The following is a 14,333-nucleotide window of genomic DNA, read 5'->3' as shown; positions in this document are numbered from 1 at the left end:
CTGAGACACTTTACAGCCCTAGACCCTAAAAGGTCAAAAGGCTGTCTTATTCTCAAAATACATTTTATTACCCAATCTGCTCCCGACATTAAATAAAACTCCAAAAATTAAATTCCGGCCCTCAAACCCCACAACAGGATTTAATTAACCTTGCCTTCAAGGTGTACAATAATAGAAAAAAGTTGCAATTCCTTGCCTCCACTGTGAGACAAACCCCAGCCACATCTCCAGCACACAAGAACTTCCAAACACCTGAACTGCAGCGGCCAGGTGTTCCTCCAGAACCTCCTCCCACAGGAGCTTGCTACATGTGCTGGAAATCTGGCCACTGGGCCAAGGAATGCCCACAGCCTGGTATTCCTCCTAAGCTGCGTCCCATCTGTGTGGGACCCCACTGAAAATCAGACTGTTCAACTCACCTGGCAGCCACTCCCAGAGCCCCTGGAACTCTCGCCCAAGGCTCTCTGACTGACTCCTTCCCAGATCTTCTTGGCTTAGCGGCTGAAGACTGACACTGCCCGATTGCCTCGGAAGCCCCCTAGACCATCACGGACGCCGAGCTTCAGGTAACTCTCACAGTGGAAGGTAAGCCCATCCCCTTCTTAATCAATACGGAGGCTACCCACTCCACATTACCTTCTTTTCAAGGGCCTGTTTCCCTTGCCTCCATAACTGTTGTGGGTATTGACGGCCAGGCTTCTAAACCTCTTAAAACTCCCCAACTCTGGTGCCAACTTAGACAACACTCTTTTAAGCACTCCTTTTTAGTTATCCCCACCTGCCCAGTTCCCTTATTAGGCCGAGACACTTTAACTAAATTACCTGCTTCCTTGACTATTCCTGGACTACAGCTATATCTCATTGCCACCCTTCTTCCCAATCCAAAGCCTCCTTTGTGTCCTCCTCTTGTATCTCCCCACCTTAACCCACAAGTATAAAATACATCTACTCCCTCCTTGGTGACCGATCATGCACCCCTTACCATCTCATTGAAACCTAATCACCCTTACCCCGCTCAACACCAATATCCCATCCTACAGCATGCTTTAAAAAGATTAAAGCCTGTTATCACTCACTTGCTACAGCATGGCCTTTTAAAGCCTATAAACTCTCCTTACAATTCCCCCATTTTACCTGTCCTAAAACCAGACAAGCCTTTCAAGTTAGTTCAGGATCTGTGCCTTATCAACCAAATTGTTTTGCCTATCCACCCTGTGGTGCCCAACCCATACACTCTTTTGTCCTCAATACCTTCCTCCACAATTCACTATTGCGTGCTTGATCTTAAAGATGCTTTTTTCACTATTCCCCTGCACCCCTCTTCCCAGCCTCTCTTTGCTTTCACTTAGACTGACCCTGACACCCATTAGGCTCAGCAAATTACCTGGGCTGTACTGCCGCAAGGCTTCATAGACAGCCCCCATTACTTCAATCAAGCCCAAATTTCATCCTCATCTGTTACCTAACTCGGCATAATTCTCATAAAAACATACGTGCTTTCCCTGCTGATGGTGTCCGATTAATCTCCCAAACCTCAATCCCTTACAAAAGAGCAACTCCTTTCCTTCCTAGGCATGGTTAGTGCAGTCAGAATTCTTACACAAGAGCCAGGACCACACCGTGTAGCCTTTCTGTCCAAACAAGTTGACCTTACTGTTTTAGCCTAGCCCTCATGTCTGTGTGCAGTGGTTGCCACTGCTGTAATACTGTCAGAGGCCCTAAAAATCACAAAGTATGCTCAACTCACTCTCTACATTTCTCATAACTTCCAAAATCTATTTTCTTCCTCATACCTGATGCATATACTTTCTGCTCCCTGGCTCCTTCAGCTGTACTTACTCTTTAAGTCCCACAATTACCATTGTTCCTGGCCCGGACTTCAATCCGGCCTCCCACATTATTTCTGATACCACACCTGACCCCCATGACTATATCTCTCTGATCCACCTGACATTCACCCCATTTCCCCAAATTTCCTTCTTTCCTGTTCCTCACCGTGATCACGCTTGATTTATTGATGGCCGTTCCACCAGGCCTAATCGCCACACACCAGCAAAGGCAGGTTATGCTATAGTACAAGCCACTAGCCTGCCGCTTAGAACCTCTCATTTCCTTTCCATCGTGGAAATCTATCCTCAAGAAAATAACTTCTCAGTGTTCCATCTGCTATTCTACTACTTCTCAGGGATTATTCAGGCCCCCTCCCTTCCCTACACATCAAGCTTGAGGATTTGCCCCACCCAGGACTGGCAAATTAGCTTTACTCAACATGCCCTGAGTCAGATAACTAAAATACCTCTCAGTCTAGGTAGATACTTTCACTGGATAGGTAGAGGCCTTTCCTACAGGGTCTGAGAAGGCCACTGCAGTCATTTCTTCCATTCTGTCAGACATAATTCCTCAGTTTAGCCTTCCCACCTCTATACAGTCTGATAACAGATGAGCCTTTATCAGTCAAATCAGCCAAGCAGTTTTTCAGGCTCTTAGTATTCAGTGAAACGTTTATATCCCTTGCGGTCCTCCATCTTCAAGAAAAGTAGAATGGACTAAAGGTCTTTTAAAAACACACCTCACCAAGCTCAGCCACCAACTTAAAAAGGACTAAACAATACTTTTACCACTTTTCCTTCTCAGAAGTCAGACCTGTCCTCAGAATGCTACAGGCTACAGCCCATTTAAGCTCCTGTATAGACTCTCCTTTTTATTAGGCCCCAGTCTCATTCCAGACACCAGACCAACTTAGACTGTGCCCCAAAAAAACTTGTCATCCCTACTATCTTCTGTCTAGTCATACTCCTATTCACCGTTCTCAACTACTCATACATGTCCTGCTCTTGTTTACACTGCCAGTTTACACTGTTTCTCCAAGCCATCACAGCTGATATCTCCTGGTGCTATCCCCAAACTGCCACTCTTAACTCTTGAAGTAAATAAATAATCTTTGCTGGCAGGACTGTGCTGAATCTCCTTAGGCACTCTCTAATCAGATATCATGAGTCGTCCCAATTCTTAGACCTTTTATACCTGTTTTTCTCCTTCTGTTATTCCATTTCATTTCTCAATTCATCCAAAACCATATCCAGGCCATCACCAATCATTCTATATGACAAATATTTCTTCTAACATCCCCGCAATATCACCCCTTACCACAAGACCTCCCTTCAGCTTAATCTCTCCCACTCTAGGTTCCCGCGCCGCCCTAATCCCGCTCAAAGCAGCCCTGAGAAACATCGCCCACTCTCTCTCCATACCACCCCCCAAAAATTTTTGCCGCCCCAACACTTCAACACTATTTTGTTTTATTTTTCTTATTAATATAAGAAGGCAGGAATGTCAGGCCTCTGAGCCCAAGCCAAGCCATCGCATCCCCTGTGACTTGCACATATATGCCCAGGTGGCCTGAAGTAACTGAAGAATCACAAAAGAAGTGAATATGCCCTGCCCCACCTTAACTGATGACATTCCACCACAAAAGAAGTGTAAATGGCCGGTCCTTGCCTTAACTGATGACATTACCTTGTGAAAGTCCTTTTCCTGGCTCATCCTGGCTCAAAAAGCTCCCCCACTGAGCACCTTGCGACCCCCCACTCCTGCCCACCAGAGAACAAAACCCCTTTGACTGTAATTTTCTTTTGCCTATCCAAATCCTATAAAATGGCCCCACTCTTATCTCCCTTTGCTGACTCTCTTTTCGGACTCAGCCCGCCTGCACCCAGGTGAAATAAACAGCCATGTTGCTCACACAAAGCCTGTTTGGTGGTCTCTTCACATGGACGTGCATGAAAATTTGGAAGAATGAAGGGAGAAACATGAGGGAGGATATAGTGTTTTTGACTGGGTTGCTCCAGTTAACTACTACACGTTATCCACCCATGGGATGCATCTATCTGATCACCTTTGCCAAATCAAATCCGTTGTCTCTGAATTTCAAAAATTTCTCTTGTTCTTAACTAAAGTGCTCCCTGTGCACCATTTATTGCTTATAATTCAGTGAATATAATAATAATATTTTCAGCATTTGACAAAGTATTTCCACATATTATATTTCCTTCAGTTCTCACAATGATCCTATGAGGCAGATTTTAGTTTACTCCTTTCACACGTGAAGAAACTAAGGCTTGAAAATGGTTAGATGCTTTGCTGAAAGTCACATGCAGATATATGGCAGAAATAGTACCTCAAACCAGGATCTTGACTTCTATTGTAGAGTTTATTCTATGACATAAGAACTATAGGTCCACATTGATTTCCCATCTTCCCAGCCCTCTCACCGTCTGTTGTCATTGCAGTCTCCTCAGCAGCTGTGGTGGAAGGTATGGGCAATAACTATATGTTCTCTTGGAGAGAAAAGCAAAACTTTGGCCATTTTAAATCTGTACTGTTTCTTCTTACTTAGACTATGTTCCAGGCTGACTTCTGCTCCTTTGTCTCACACTTAGAGACCTCTTCTTGCTGTTATTAAAGCTGCACCTTTTATGCCTAGAACGTGAATCACTTGTCTCGCATTCCAAAGCCCTACCAGGCCCTAGACCCAGGTATATGTGAGTCCTGTGTTTGTCTCTCACCTGAGAGTATTGTGGTACTTGAGGTATTGGGGATATTGGGGGATTCACATGATCCCTAAATCATTCCTTGTTTGCCCTATTATTTGATCACTCTGTACTTCCTACCTTTGGCCATGGGGCCCTGGAGTTTCTTCCCTGGCTCTGCAATAGCCACTGCTAACATGGAGATAGGAGGATGGCTTCCTAGCTTGGAGGTCAGTGGATGTGAGCTGTGGTCTGATTCTGTCACTACAGAGAGCTATAGCCCTGGGAAATGTACTTTTTACAGACCTCAGTTTTCTAATAAATAAAATGAATATGTTGAACGTAGTGTATGCTAGGGACATGAATAATGATGAATAATGTTGTGCACTCTTAATGTAATAACCTGAAAAGAAGAACTGGAGGGCACATCTGCCAAGGTCTCTCATGATCTCAGTAAGGTGGCGGTAGTATAGAATTTTTTGGCTTTCACATTATTGTTATTACCAGAGCTTTTGTTTATCCAGGTCACCACAGCTCTGAACTTTGTGTCTATCCCTATACAACACCAACTTGAAGGAGCAGAAAATACAGGAGGTGGTAAAGCAGACAACCATTGAGATATCTGGTAGAGGAGCAAGTGAAGTGGACAGGAATATCCAAGGAAGAGCCTGATCAGTGTTGGAATTATCAGGGACCATATGTTATTCTGTAAACTTTACAGTCAAATGAAGCTTTGAAGAGTGGAATGTCTCTAAATTAAGGGATTTTTTCAGATGTTAGAATTTTTGGCAATTTTAAATGAGGCTTAGTGGGATAAGACTGGAGAACTATATGAGGTCAGCATTGATTAAATCAAGCACCTGAATTCAAAACTTGGAGATATGAACTTAATGGGATAATTTTTATGCAACAACAAGCCCTGGGCATCTACTTAAATCTGTTTGTGTGAATTTCCCCAGGTCACACATATTGTAGAATATCTAATACTAGAAACTGGTTTCTGAACTTCCTGTCCAATGCATTTATTTGCCACTGGAAAAATCTCACCCAATGCATTTCCCACTAACTTGCCTCTTTTGTGTTTGAAGACCTTGCAGAAATATTGACTAAACTGAAAATTATTTTCTACTCTTTTCTGAGAACTGTAGGGGAGAGTGATGTGGTGGTGATGGTGTCAGTGAGAGCATATGTCCTGAGCTCCCAACTGCTACATCACTGAATTTCACCAGCCTGCCTTTCTCTGCAATGTCACTTTGTTCTTCCATGTGACATGATAACCATGGTTTTTTTCCAATAATTCTGTTCTCTTCCCACATACTTTCTTCCTGGCTGGCATCCCAGGATTGACTGCCACCCACATTTGGATCTCACTTCCCTTTTGCTTTATGTTTTTCCTGTCATTGACTGGGAATGGTGTCCTGCTTTTTCTCATCCGGACAGAATGCAGCCTTCGCCAGCCCATGTTTCTTTTTCTTGCCATGCTCTCCTTTGTCGACTTGGTCCTCTCTCTCTCCACACTGCCTAAGATGCTGGCCATTTTCTGGTTTGGTGCTACAGCCATCAGCTCGCATTCCTGTCTTTCCCAGATGTTCTCCATCCATGCATTCTCTGCCATGGAGTCAGGGGTGCTAGTGGCCATGGCCCTGGACCGCTCTGTGGCCATCTGCAACCCACTGCGTTATGCAACCATCCTTCCACCTGTTGTTGTTGCCAAGATTGGAGGCCTGGTGGTGTTGTGAGGGGTGGGATTGACCATCTCCTTTCCAAGCTTGGCCCATAGGCTGCACTACCATGGCTCACACATGATTGCCTATACCTTCTGTGAGCATATGGCAGTGGTGAAGCTTGCCTGTGAGGCCACCACTGTGGACAACCTCTATGCCTTTGTGGTGGCAATCTTTCTTGGTGGGGGGGATGTGGTCTTATTGCCTATTCTTATGGGCTGATTGTGAGGACTGTAATGCATTTTCCTTCACCTGAGGAACGTGCGAAAGCAGGCAGCACATGTACAGCCCATGTCTGTGTCATCCTCTTCTTCTATGGACTGGGCTTTCTTTCTGTGGTCATGCAGCGCTTTGGAGCACCCACAGCTTCTACTGCCAAGGTCATCCTTGCCAATCTCTACTTGCTCTTTCCCCCAGCACTGGATCCCATTGTCTATGGCATGGAGACCAAGCAGATCTAGGAGCGGCTATTGATGATTCTAAGCCCCAAGCAGATTGAGCTTACCTGAGTATAGTTATCACCAGCTGGACTTCAGGGTCCAGGGTGGCCCTCTCTCACTGGGTGGAAGCCCCATAGCCCAGTCATTTATCTTGTGCAGAGAGTAAAAAGAAAGCAGGGAAAGTTATCCTAGGTGTTTGGAAGTTAGGAAATCTCTTCTGAGGTCTATGGTATTTATACATTGGGATGGAAAACTATTAGAAGGGCTGGGATATCTCAATTGATCAATAAGCAGGAAATCTTTTTGATATTTTTTCTTCTGAAAGTTTATGTTTTATTTGTGTTGATAAGATAAATGCATCAGGTAATATGATGAATCTGAATTCAAGTGTTTTAGGAGATCAGAAAGAGATGAGCTGGACATATGAAAAAAATGGGGCACCTCACACCACCACAGCTCTCACTCACAGCCAGTCCATGGGAAGAGAATGGCCTCTCTACCACCTACTTAGCTTCAGAGAAAGAAGGGTGGCAAACTATGGAGATAATTTTGAGTTCAAATTTATGAAAGAAATACTTTAAAATATTCATGTTCCATCTGACTAGAATTGCAGGTTAAGGTTGTTTTCTCTATTTCCAGTATTTTTTCATTCTGTTTTTGAGATGAATGGCCCTCTATGATACCTGTAGTTTCATTTCTTCATTTTTAGTCTCAGCTGCAAGACTTTGAGTTAATCATACTTGTATGCTTATTGCATGCAACGATTATTGTTCTGATTATTGTTCTGTTTGTTTATTTTCTGTCTTTATTTCTTAATGTCTTGTTCATTTCCTTCCCAGTTCCTACCACTGGCATTCATTTTAATGTGTTTGTGTTATGTGCTTATGTATTTGCATATCCTTGAAATATATTAGTATTATTTGAGTGTTATGTATTCCTAATATACATAAATACTCTTCTTTATTTCGTCAAATATTTATGCTCCCTCCAGGCAGGTTGTCCAGGCTCCTCCTAATACAAATGCTTTTCCCTGTCCTTATTCTTGCTGTTTCTACTCATCTTTCACCTTAGTTCAAACCTCATCTCCTTAGAAAAGATTCTTTTAATTACATTAAATCATTTGTTTTCTGATCTCAGAATACTGTGTGTTTCTTTTATTATTCATTATAATTTATAATTATATATATTTTTGTTGGATAAATAATCTCTGTCTGCATTCCTACTAGATAGTGATTTCTACTGTATTCTTAAAATAGTTCCTGACATATAATATGCTATCAATAAGCATGTGTTAATAAATAAGTCTCATTATTTTAATGGTCACTAGCGTATTTCTTCATTAGTCATATTAACATAGTATGTGCTTTTGAATAAATGACTACAAATATTTTTATGACTGGACATTCAATATATTTTTGTTAAAGCAATGAAAAAACATTGCTGTAACAATAACTACTAACACTATTTTCTTTACTACCATCATCACTTCAAACATCACCTTAACCTCAATAGTCTTTGCAAAAGTTGTAGTTTCAAATGGCGGTATTTTGGATGCTGTGCAGGGGCATTGGGGGGCATAGTTACTATTATAAGACAGAATCACTGCTATAAGGGCTTAGAGGTCTCTAAGTGCTCTGGGCAAACTAGCTCTGAAGAATTCTATCTTGAATATGCTGTATTAGTGAGAAATCTTGATAACAAAGGCAGCTCCTGTGTGTTCAGCTCTTACTACATGGTACCTTGAGTTCTTGAAGTAAAAACTTTGCAGATACACTCTTTCATTTATTGGTCACAAAATGCAAATAAAGCAGGTGCTATAATTATTCCCATTTTATTTCTGATGCAATATTATGCTTCCTACTAAGTGGGGATCATTTAGTTTCTCATATCTCTTCTACTTTTGGCATGGTGGTAAGTTTAGTGTCTTTGTTCTCAAATACAATTTTCAGTTCTTTCCTGTAAAAGCAAACAAACAAACAAATAAGCAAAGACTGGTGCTTCTTTGAGGTTCATGTCACTCACTCATATCATCCTCTATCACTTCTGGTTACTGTTATCTCTCCTCTACTCGCCTTCATTAAATGATGACATGGTCCACATCTTCTCTGTTTTTATTTTGCCACCCATGACCCTGGTGGGAGACATCAGTATTTATGTGGATAATCCATTGAACACTCTGGCTTTTCATATTCTCAATTTCTTTATTCCCAAAGATACCTACCTCATCTACCCATTCTCATGACACATCCTTAAACCTCTGTAGAGATCACTGAATTTTCTTCCCCAAAGATCTCCTGCCATCTATGCTTAGCCTTGGCCTCTCCATTTTCCTAAGATGTCATTTTGTTAATGAGATGTTAATCATATCTCAATCCTCTGCTTAAAATCCTTCATGATTTCCATGGCCCTTTAACATGGCCCAAAAGACCCAGTATGCTCGGGTTCCTGCTTGCACTCCAGGCTCAGTCCTGAGTACTACAATCTCTAATTTTAAAAATTCTTTCAGGTCTTTGAAATTACCAGAGTCCTTTTTCTTCTGCTCATGTTTTGTGTACGCACCCTATCTCCATATTGCCCTTCACTTTAACCAAGTCTTCTGGTCACTAACTTAAATTAGGGAGGGCTTTCCTGAAGTCCCCATACTGGGGAGGTCCTTCTATTATATGCTTTTAAAACATTATAGTTTTAATATATAACACTTATAACTGTAATTAATTCTATGATCATATACTTAACATATATCATCCCAAGACCCATGAGAACCATTTTATCATATCGTTTGTTTTTTCCAAAATCTAGCAGAGTACATGGAATTAGTATATATTTAATATTTATTGAATAAATGAATAAATAGGGCTCCCCACAAGCTGTGAATGAGATACTTGTTGACTGGATGAATGGAAGGACTGTGCACTTGAGGCATTGTTCCCAAGGAGAATATGGCCACTGGGTAGAGTGGGAAGCTGCTTCAATCAGAGATGGAACTAACAGAAGGGTCTATTTATGATGGGAAAATATGATAAAGGAAGCCTCAGCCCATCTCATTGGGAACTTCCTTGGAGGGACTGTTGGAGGAGCCCTATTTATCCCACATGTACCATGGCAATGGGTTTGAGGCCCTTGGGTTTGTCACTATCCTATAGAGGAGAAGCAAAGTGCTCAACTCAACCTGAGGCTGGCAGCATTTGTCTTAGGTTGGCTTCCCCAGAAACAGACTCTGGAGCAGAGATTTGCATGCAGGAAGTTTATTGTGACATATATATGGTAACAATGACTGTCATGGAGTGAGAGGAGTGAAATTAAACTGTCATGGAGTGAGAGGGGCTGAAGAAGAAATTAAACTATGATCGAGTTGTCTCAGGTGACTTAGCTAATCAAATAGGACCTCATGAGTTAGAATGACTCCTCAGTGTTGTTTAAGATGAAGAAAGGGGGCCAGGACTTTGTATTCTTATATCACCAGTCATTGGCTATGAGCTGCTTGGGGAAGGAAAAGTAATCTTAGGCGAGACTGCTCTCTTTAGCCAAAGGAGAGTGACTTAGTTATCAGCTTCCAGAAGCCAACACTACCTGCACCTGGAGGAATAAGCACATTGAGCCACAGCATTCACTAAAGCATTTCCTGGGGTCTAAGATTGTTCTGTGAGAATGAGAAGTCTGAGCTCACAGAGCAATGTGAAATTTCCCAGCTCACTGCACAAGGTTTCCTATCACCAACAGGATGTACAGGCTTAGGGGTAATGAACAACGCTGAACAGATATGGGCCACCTGGTTAGGTGCAGGAGTCACTCTCCCTGCTTGGCCTCTCTGTCCAATCACCCATCCCTGTGGGCTGTAACTTTAGCTCTGTGTTCCTCTAGTCAATCTAGGGGCTACTTTTGGCTTTGCCCAGGTGTGTCTGTGAGAGCTCTGGGACCTGCCAGTTGGTAATAACATCCTGCCTGCCCAGTGCCTTGCTCACAGTCACCATCACTGCCTTGGTAAGGTATCAAGAATGACCTTCCTTTCAGGGTGACGATGACAGAACCAGCGACCCCTGGTGCACAGAAATTCAGGTGTGAAAAATGAGGTCAGTTTTGGGGCTCATGGTGGGGGAAGACTACAGCCAGCTGACTCCTGCCCTTCTCATTTTCCCTGTGACAGAGGTTATTTTTTGGCTTGGCTAGTGTGACTCTGAGTTTCCCAATACGTCTGGTCTGACACTTCTTCGTAGTCTTTATTTCCCCCTGAGTTAAAGTAGTTGCTCTCTCCGGGCCTGACTTCTCAAAATGAAGCCTCTCCTAGTTTCTACCATTTAGATGCTAGTGGGAAGGGAGGCTCTTCTGTGAAATGTGACCTATTTCTCTATCCTTAATCTCCTTCTTAACAGTGGCCTGGACTCTATGACAGTGGGAAAAAAAGAAAGATAAGAAAGAATACAGATGGAGAGAGATTAGGGGACGGCTCATTGCTGCAAGTTAACTTGTGTGCCTACAGGTGCCTACCAATCTCTTTAAGCCTTCATGATCAGCCTGAGGCATTCACAGGACCATTTAGCATGGTCCTAGGTGGCATCCTCACCATCAAATATCATGCATGTAGATACAGTTTACCCATGTGTTGCCAAAGCTAGTACTCATGTTTCATATCTTTGGGAAACTTTAGCTGTACAGACCTCGAGGGATGCATTTGATGTCCTCTTTGGCATTCAGAGACTGCTGTGCAGCCCTTCTGAAGAGAAAGTCCTCTTTATCATTGTTACACATAAGCTAAGGCAGAAGACCATTGTGGAGGTTGAACAGAGGACTCAGGGTGTTCCTGGAGATGAGCAGGGAGGGCTATAACAGAACCTTCCTGAATCTGGGAATTTTCTCCCTTTCCTAGTTTTCTTTGTGCTGCTGAGTCTCCCTCCAGGTTGACCCAAGACTTTAAAGGGCACATCCTCAAAGACAATCCAGAGACCAGTAGGACAGTGCCCTTTGCCAGGCTTACTTTATTGATTATCTATGTGTCTCCGATTTGTGCAGTGAAGCTCTGCCTCTTAGTGCTTGATTTCTGTATCTTCCTCTCTTATTAGGTCATTATCATGGACCCACTATTTCTGTGTCCTCCACTGCTCTTTTTCTGCCTAGGTTCTTGTCTCCTTTCCTCCCGACTATCATAGAGTCCAGATCACTGCTGAGAAAGAGATTAAAGAGAGAGAGAGACAAGTCACATCCCATAGAGGCCTCCCTGCCTGCTAGGAGCAGAAGTGACTACCAGTGACCACAGGAATCCCCTTATTTCTGACACATCTAGGATTTCTTTATCACTTCTTTGCATGCGAGATAGTGATGAATCAGCAGGGATCTTTCTGCCATGAAGCACCCAGAGCATCACTTAAGGTGAGGACTGTCAACACTCAATCAGTAATCCCCTCAGACGGCAACCCAGTGTCTGCTACTTTATTCCTTTACTTAAATTCAGTCTCTGCCTTATCAAATTTTCATAATCTTCAGCCTTTTAAGACACTCATACACTTATTTATTTATTATTTAATCTAATCATATGGATATTTATTCAACCAACATTACTGATTACCGACTGGATTCTAGGTGCTTCTGGAGCTTGCCCTGGGGCTGCTGCAATAAGCAAGGCATAGTCCCTGCTTTTTAAAGTGCAAGGTCATCAATGCAATGACAAAGTGGTAAAGACATCACAAAGGGAAAGAAAAGGAGACACATTATGCTGTCTTACAGAATTCAAGCACAACTTCACAGAAGATAGGTTGCTTAGATTGAATGTAGATGAATAAGTAGTAGTTCAACAGCATCAGCTCTTCGCTAATTGTCCCCTGCTTTCTGGTTGGAGAACTAAATAGAGCTTCACTTTTAGGTTCTTGGGAATAAAGTCCCTTCTGCTTTTCTTCTAAGAATCACAGAGGGATCTCCTATTTACTTTAATAATTAGTGCTTAATAAGCAGATGTAGGCTTTTGCTCTAGTCTCACAAGCCATGCAGCATAAAAAAGAAGCAGATTATATTCAGGTTCGTGTCTCTGCCCCTCTGCTTCACCTTCTGTAGTACGGTTTCAGTCTCACTGCTTTATGCACACTGTTTCTATTAAAGCCACGGGTGCCTTCCACAAACACATACCTGTTCTTCAACTTCTCAGCTATAAAATGAGAAATGAGCTGATGGTTGTAACAGAAGGGGAGTAGCTAAGAAAGAGAATTAACTTCCTCAGTATGTGGAATATTAAGCACTGAAAGGTGATTTTTTTTTTTTTTTTTGCAAGAGTATAAGATTCCCCTGGAAGTCTCAATAAAAATGTCATCATTATTTTAAGTTGACTCTTGAAGAAAGACAAAGGCTGGGAGACATATGCCCACCTAGAATTTCAGAACTTATAGTTGTTATATTGAGAGTTTGGGGGCAATATGATAGTTCCCAAACATTATTGATTTGTAAAAAAGACACACTGAGTGATCTATAGATGCATAATCCACAAGAACTGAGTCATTCTTGACTTTTAAAAATCTTCACATGTACATGTACACGAACCACCACCCCAACAAAGAAAAATATAGTTGTTTCAGACTACATCTGTCTTTTAAGATAAACATACAGACACAAATGTAACCAGTTGCAAGTTTCTTATTTTAATACTTGAGGGGTGAATCCCATGGAGAAGGTTAAACAGACAGCTGTTTATTCAATAGTTCATGTTAACGTGGGGTGTCAGAGACACTGAATTGCTATAACATCATGATGACAGGTAAACATATCAAAAGTTTGAATCAGAGAAGCAGAGTCATGAAGACAAAGAAGAAAGGAAAGGTAATTATAGTTATCTTTTTAAACATTAATAATATTGCTATTAATATTTGCCATTACTTTCAACGGCAAAAATCACAATTACTTTTGTACCAACTTAATAAAAGATGACTAAGAGCTCATAGCCATCTTTTATTAGTAACATTAAAAAAGAACTATAATTTATAGACTATACTTTATAAGGTAACCTATATATCAAGACTTTACATACATTAGTTAAAATTTTTAGTATTTAAGATTAATATTATTTATTCTAATATGAAATAAGGAAATTAAGACTTAGAGAGTTTTAGAAGCCTAGCAAGATTTTATTCCTAGAATATGAAATGGACAGAATTTTAACAAACTTTGCCCGCAAAGCTTGTATTTATCACACTGCATTGTGAAGCATCCATGCTAGCTTATAATCATGACATGTAATGAGATACAGTTCTTTAAAACAAGCCATTAAGATGCTGACAGGATTTCTATGATGGAGATAAGCAAGAAAGTTATGGATGAACAAAGAAGGATCATAACATACAGTGCTCGTGACATAATCACTCTTGACCTAACACAGCCAATGAGTCCTTTTGAGCAGCAGAAGAGAGTAGACTCTAAATTTTCAAGAGTGAGGAAGACCAATTCAGATAAAGGAAGTGGAAGAAAGACTACACAAAAGGCATATGTAAAATAGGAGAGTTTAGTCATATAACTCCAAGAATGTTGGAATGGTTTAGTAAAACATACATGTAGAAATATGTTAACTGTAAGACCAAAGTAATACACAATAGATAACCCTTGAAAACCTTTAATGCAGTCTTAAGAGTATGATTTTATTCCATGCAATAGATTCACTGAAGGAT

The 14,333-nt window shown here is 41.5% G+C and overlaps 1 pseudogene, besides 1 other annotated feature; it reads left to right on the top strand.

Annotated features, from left to right (window-relative positions):
- Positions 3,045–3,616: an enhancer, noted in NCBI's record as "OCT4-NANOG-H3K27ac hESC enhancer chr11:6091219-6091790 (GRCh37/hg19 assembly coordinates)". NCBI's record gives its function as "activates a minimal SCP1, AML or CMV promoter by ChIP-STARR-seq in naive H9 embryonic stem cells {active_cell/tissue: H9 hESC(naive)}" and the evidence as "EXISTENCE:reporter gene assay evidence [ECO:0000049][PMID:30033119]".
- On the top strand, positions 5,713–6,892 carry OR52X1P (olfactory receptor family 52 subfamily X member 1 pseudogene; annotated as a pseudogene).

Source organism: Homo sapiens, chromosome 11 (genome assembly GCF_000001405.40).
Source record: "Homo sapiens chromosome 11, GRCh38.p14 Primary Assembly".
Taxonomy (NCBI): Eukaryota; Metazoa; Chordata; class Mammalia; order Primates; family Hominidae; genus Homo; species Homo sapiens.
The sequence above is the reverse complement of the archived record's forward strand: the minus strand, read 5'-3'. Positions and strand labels throughout refer to the sequence as shown.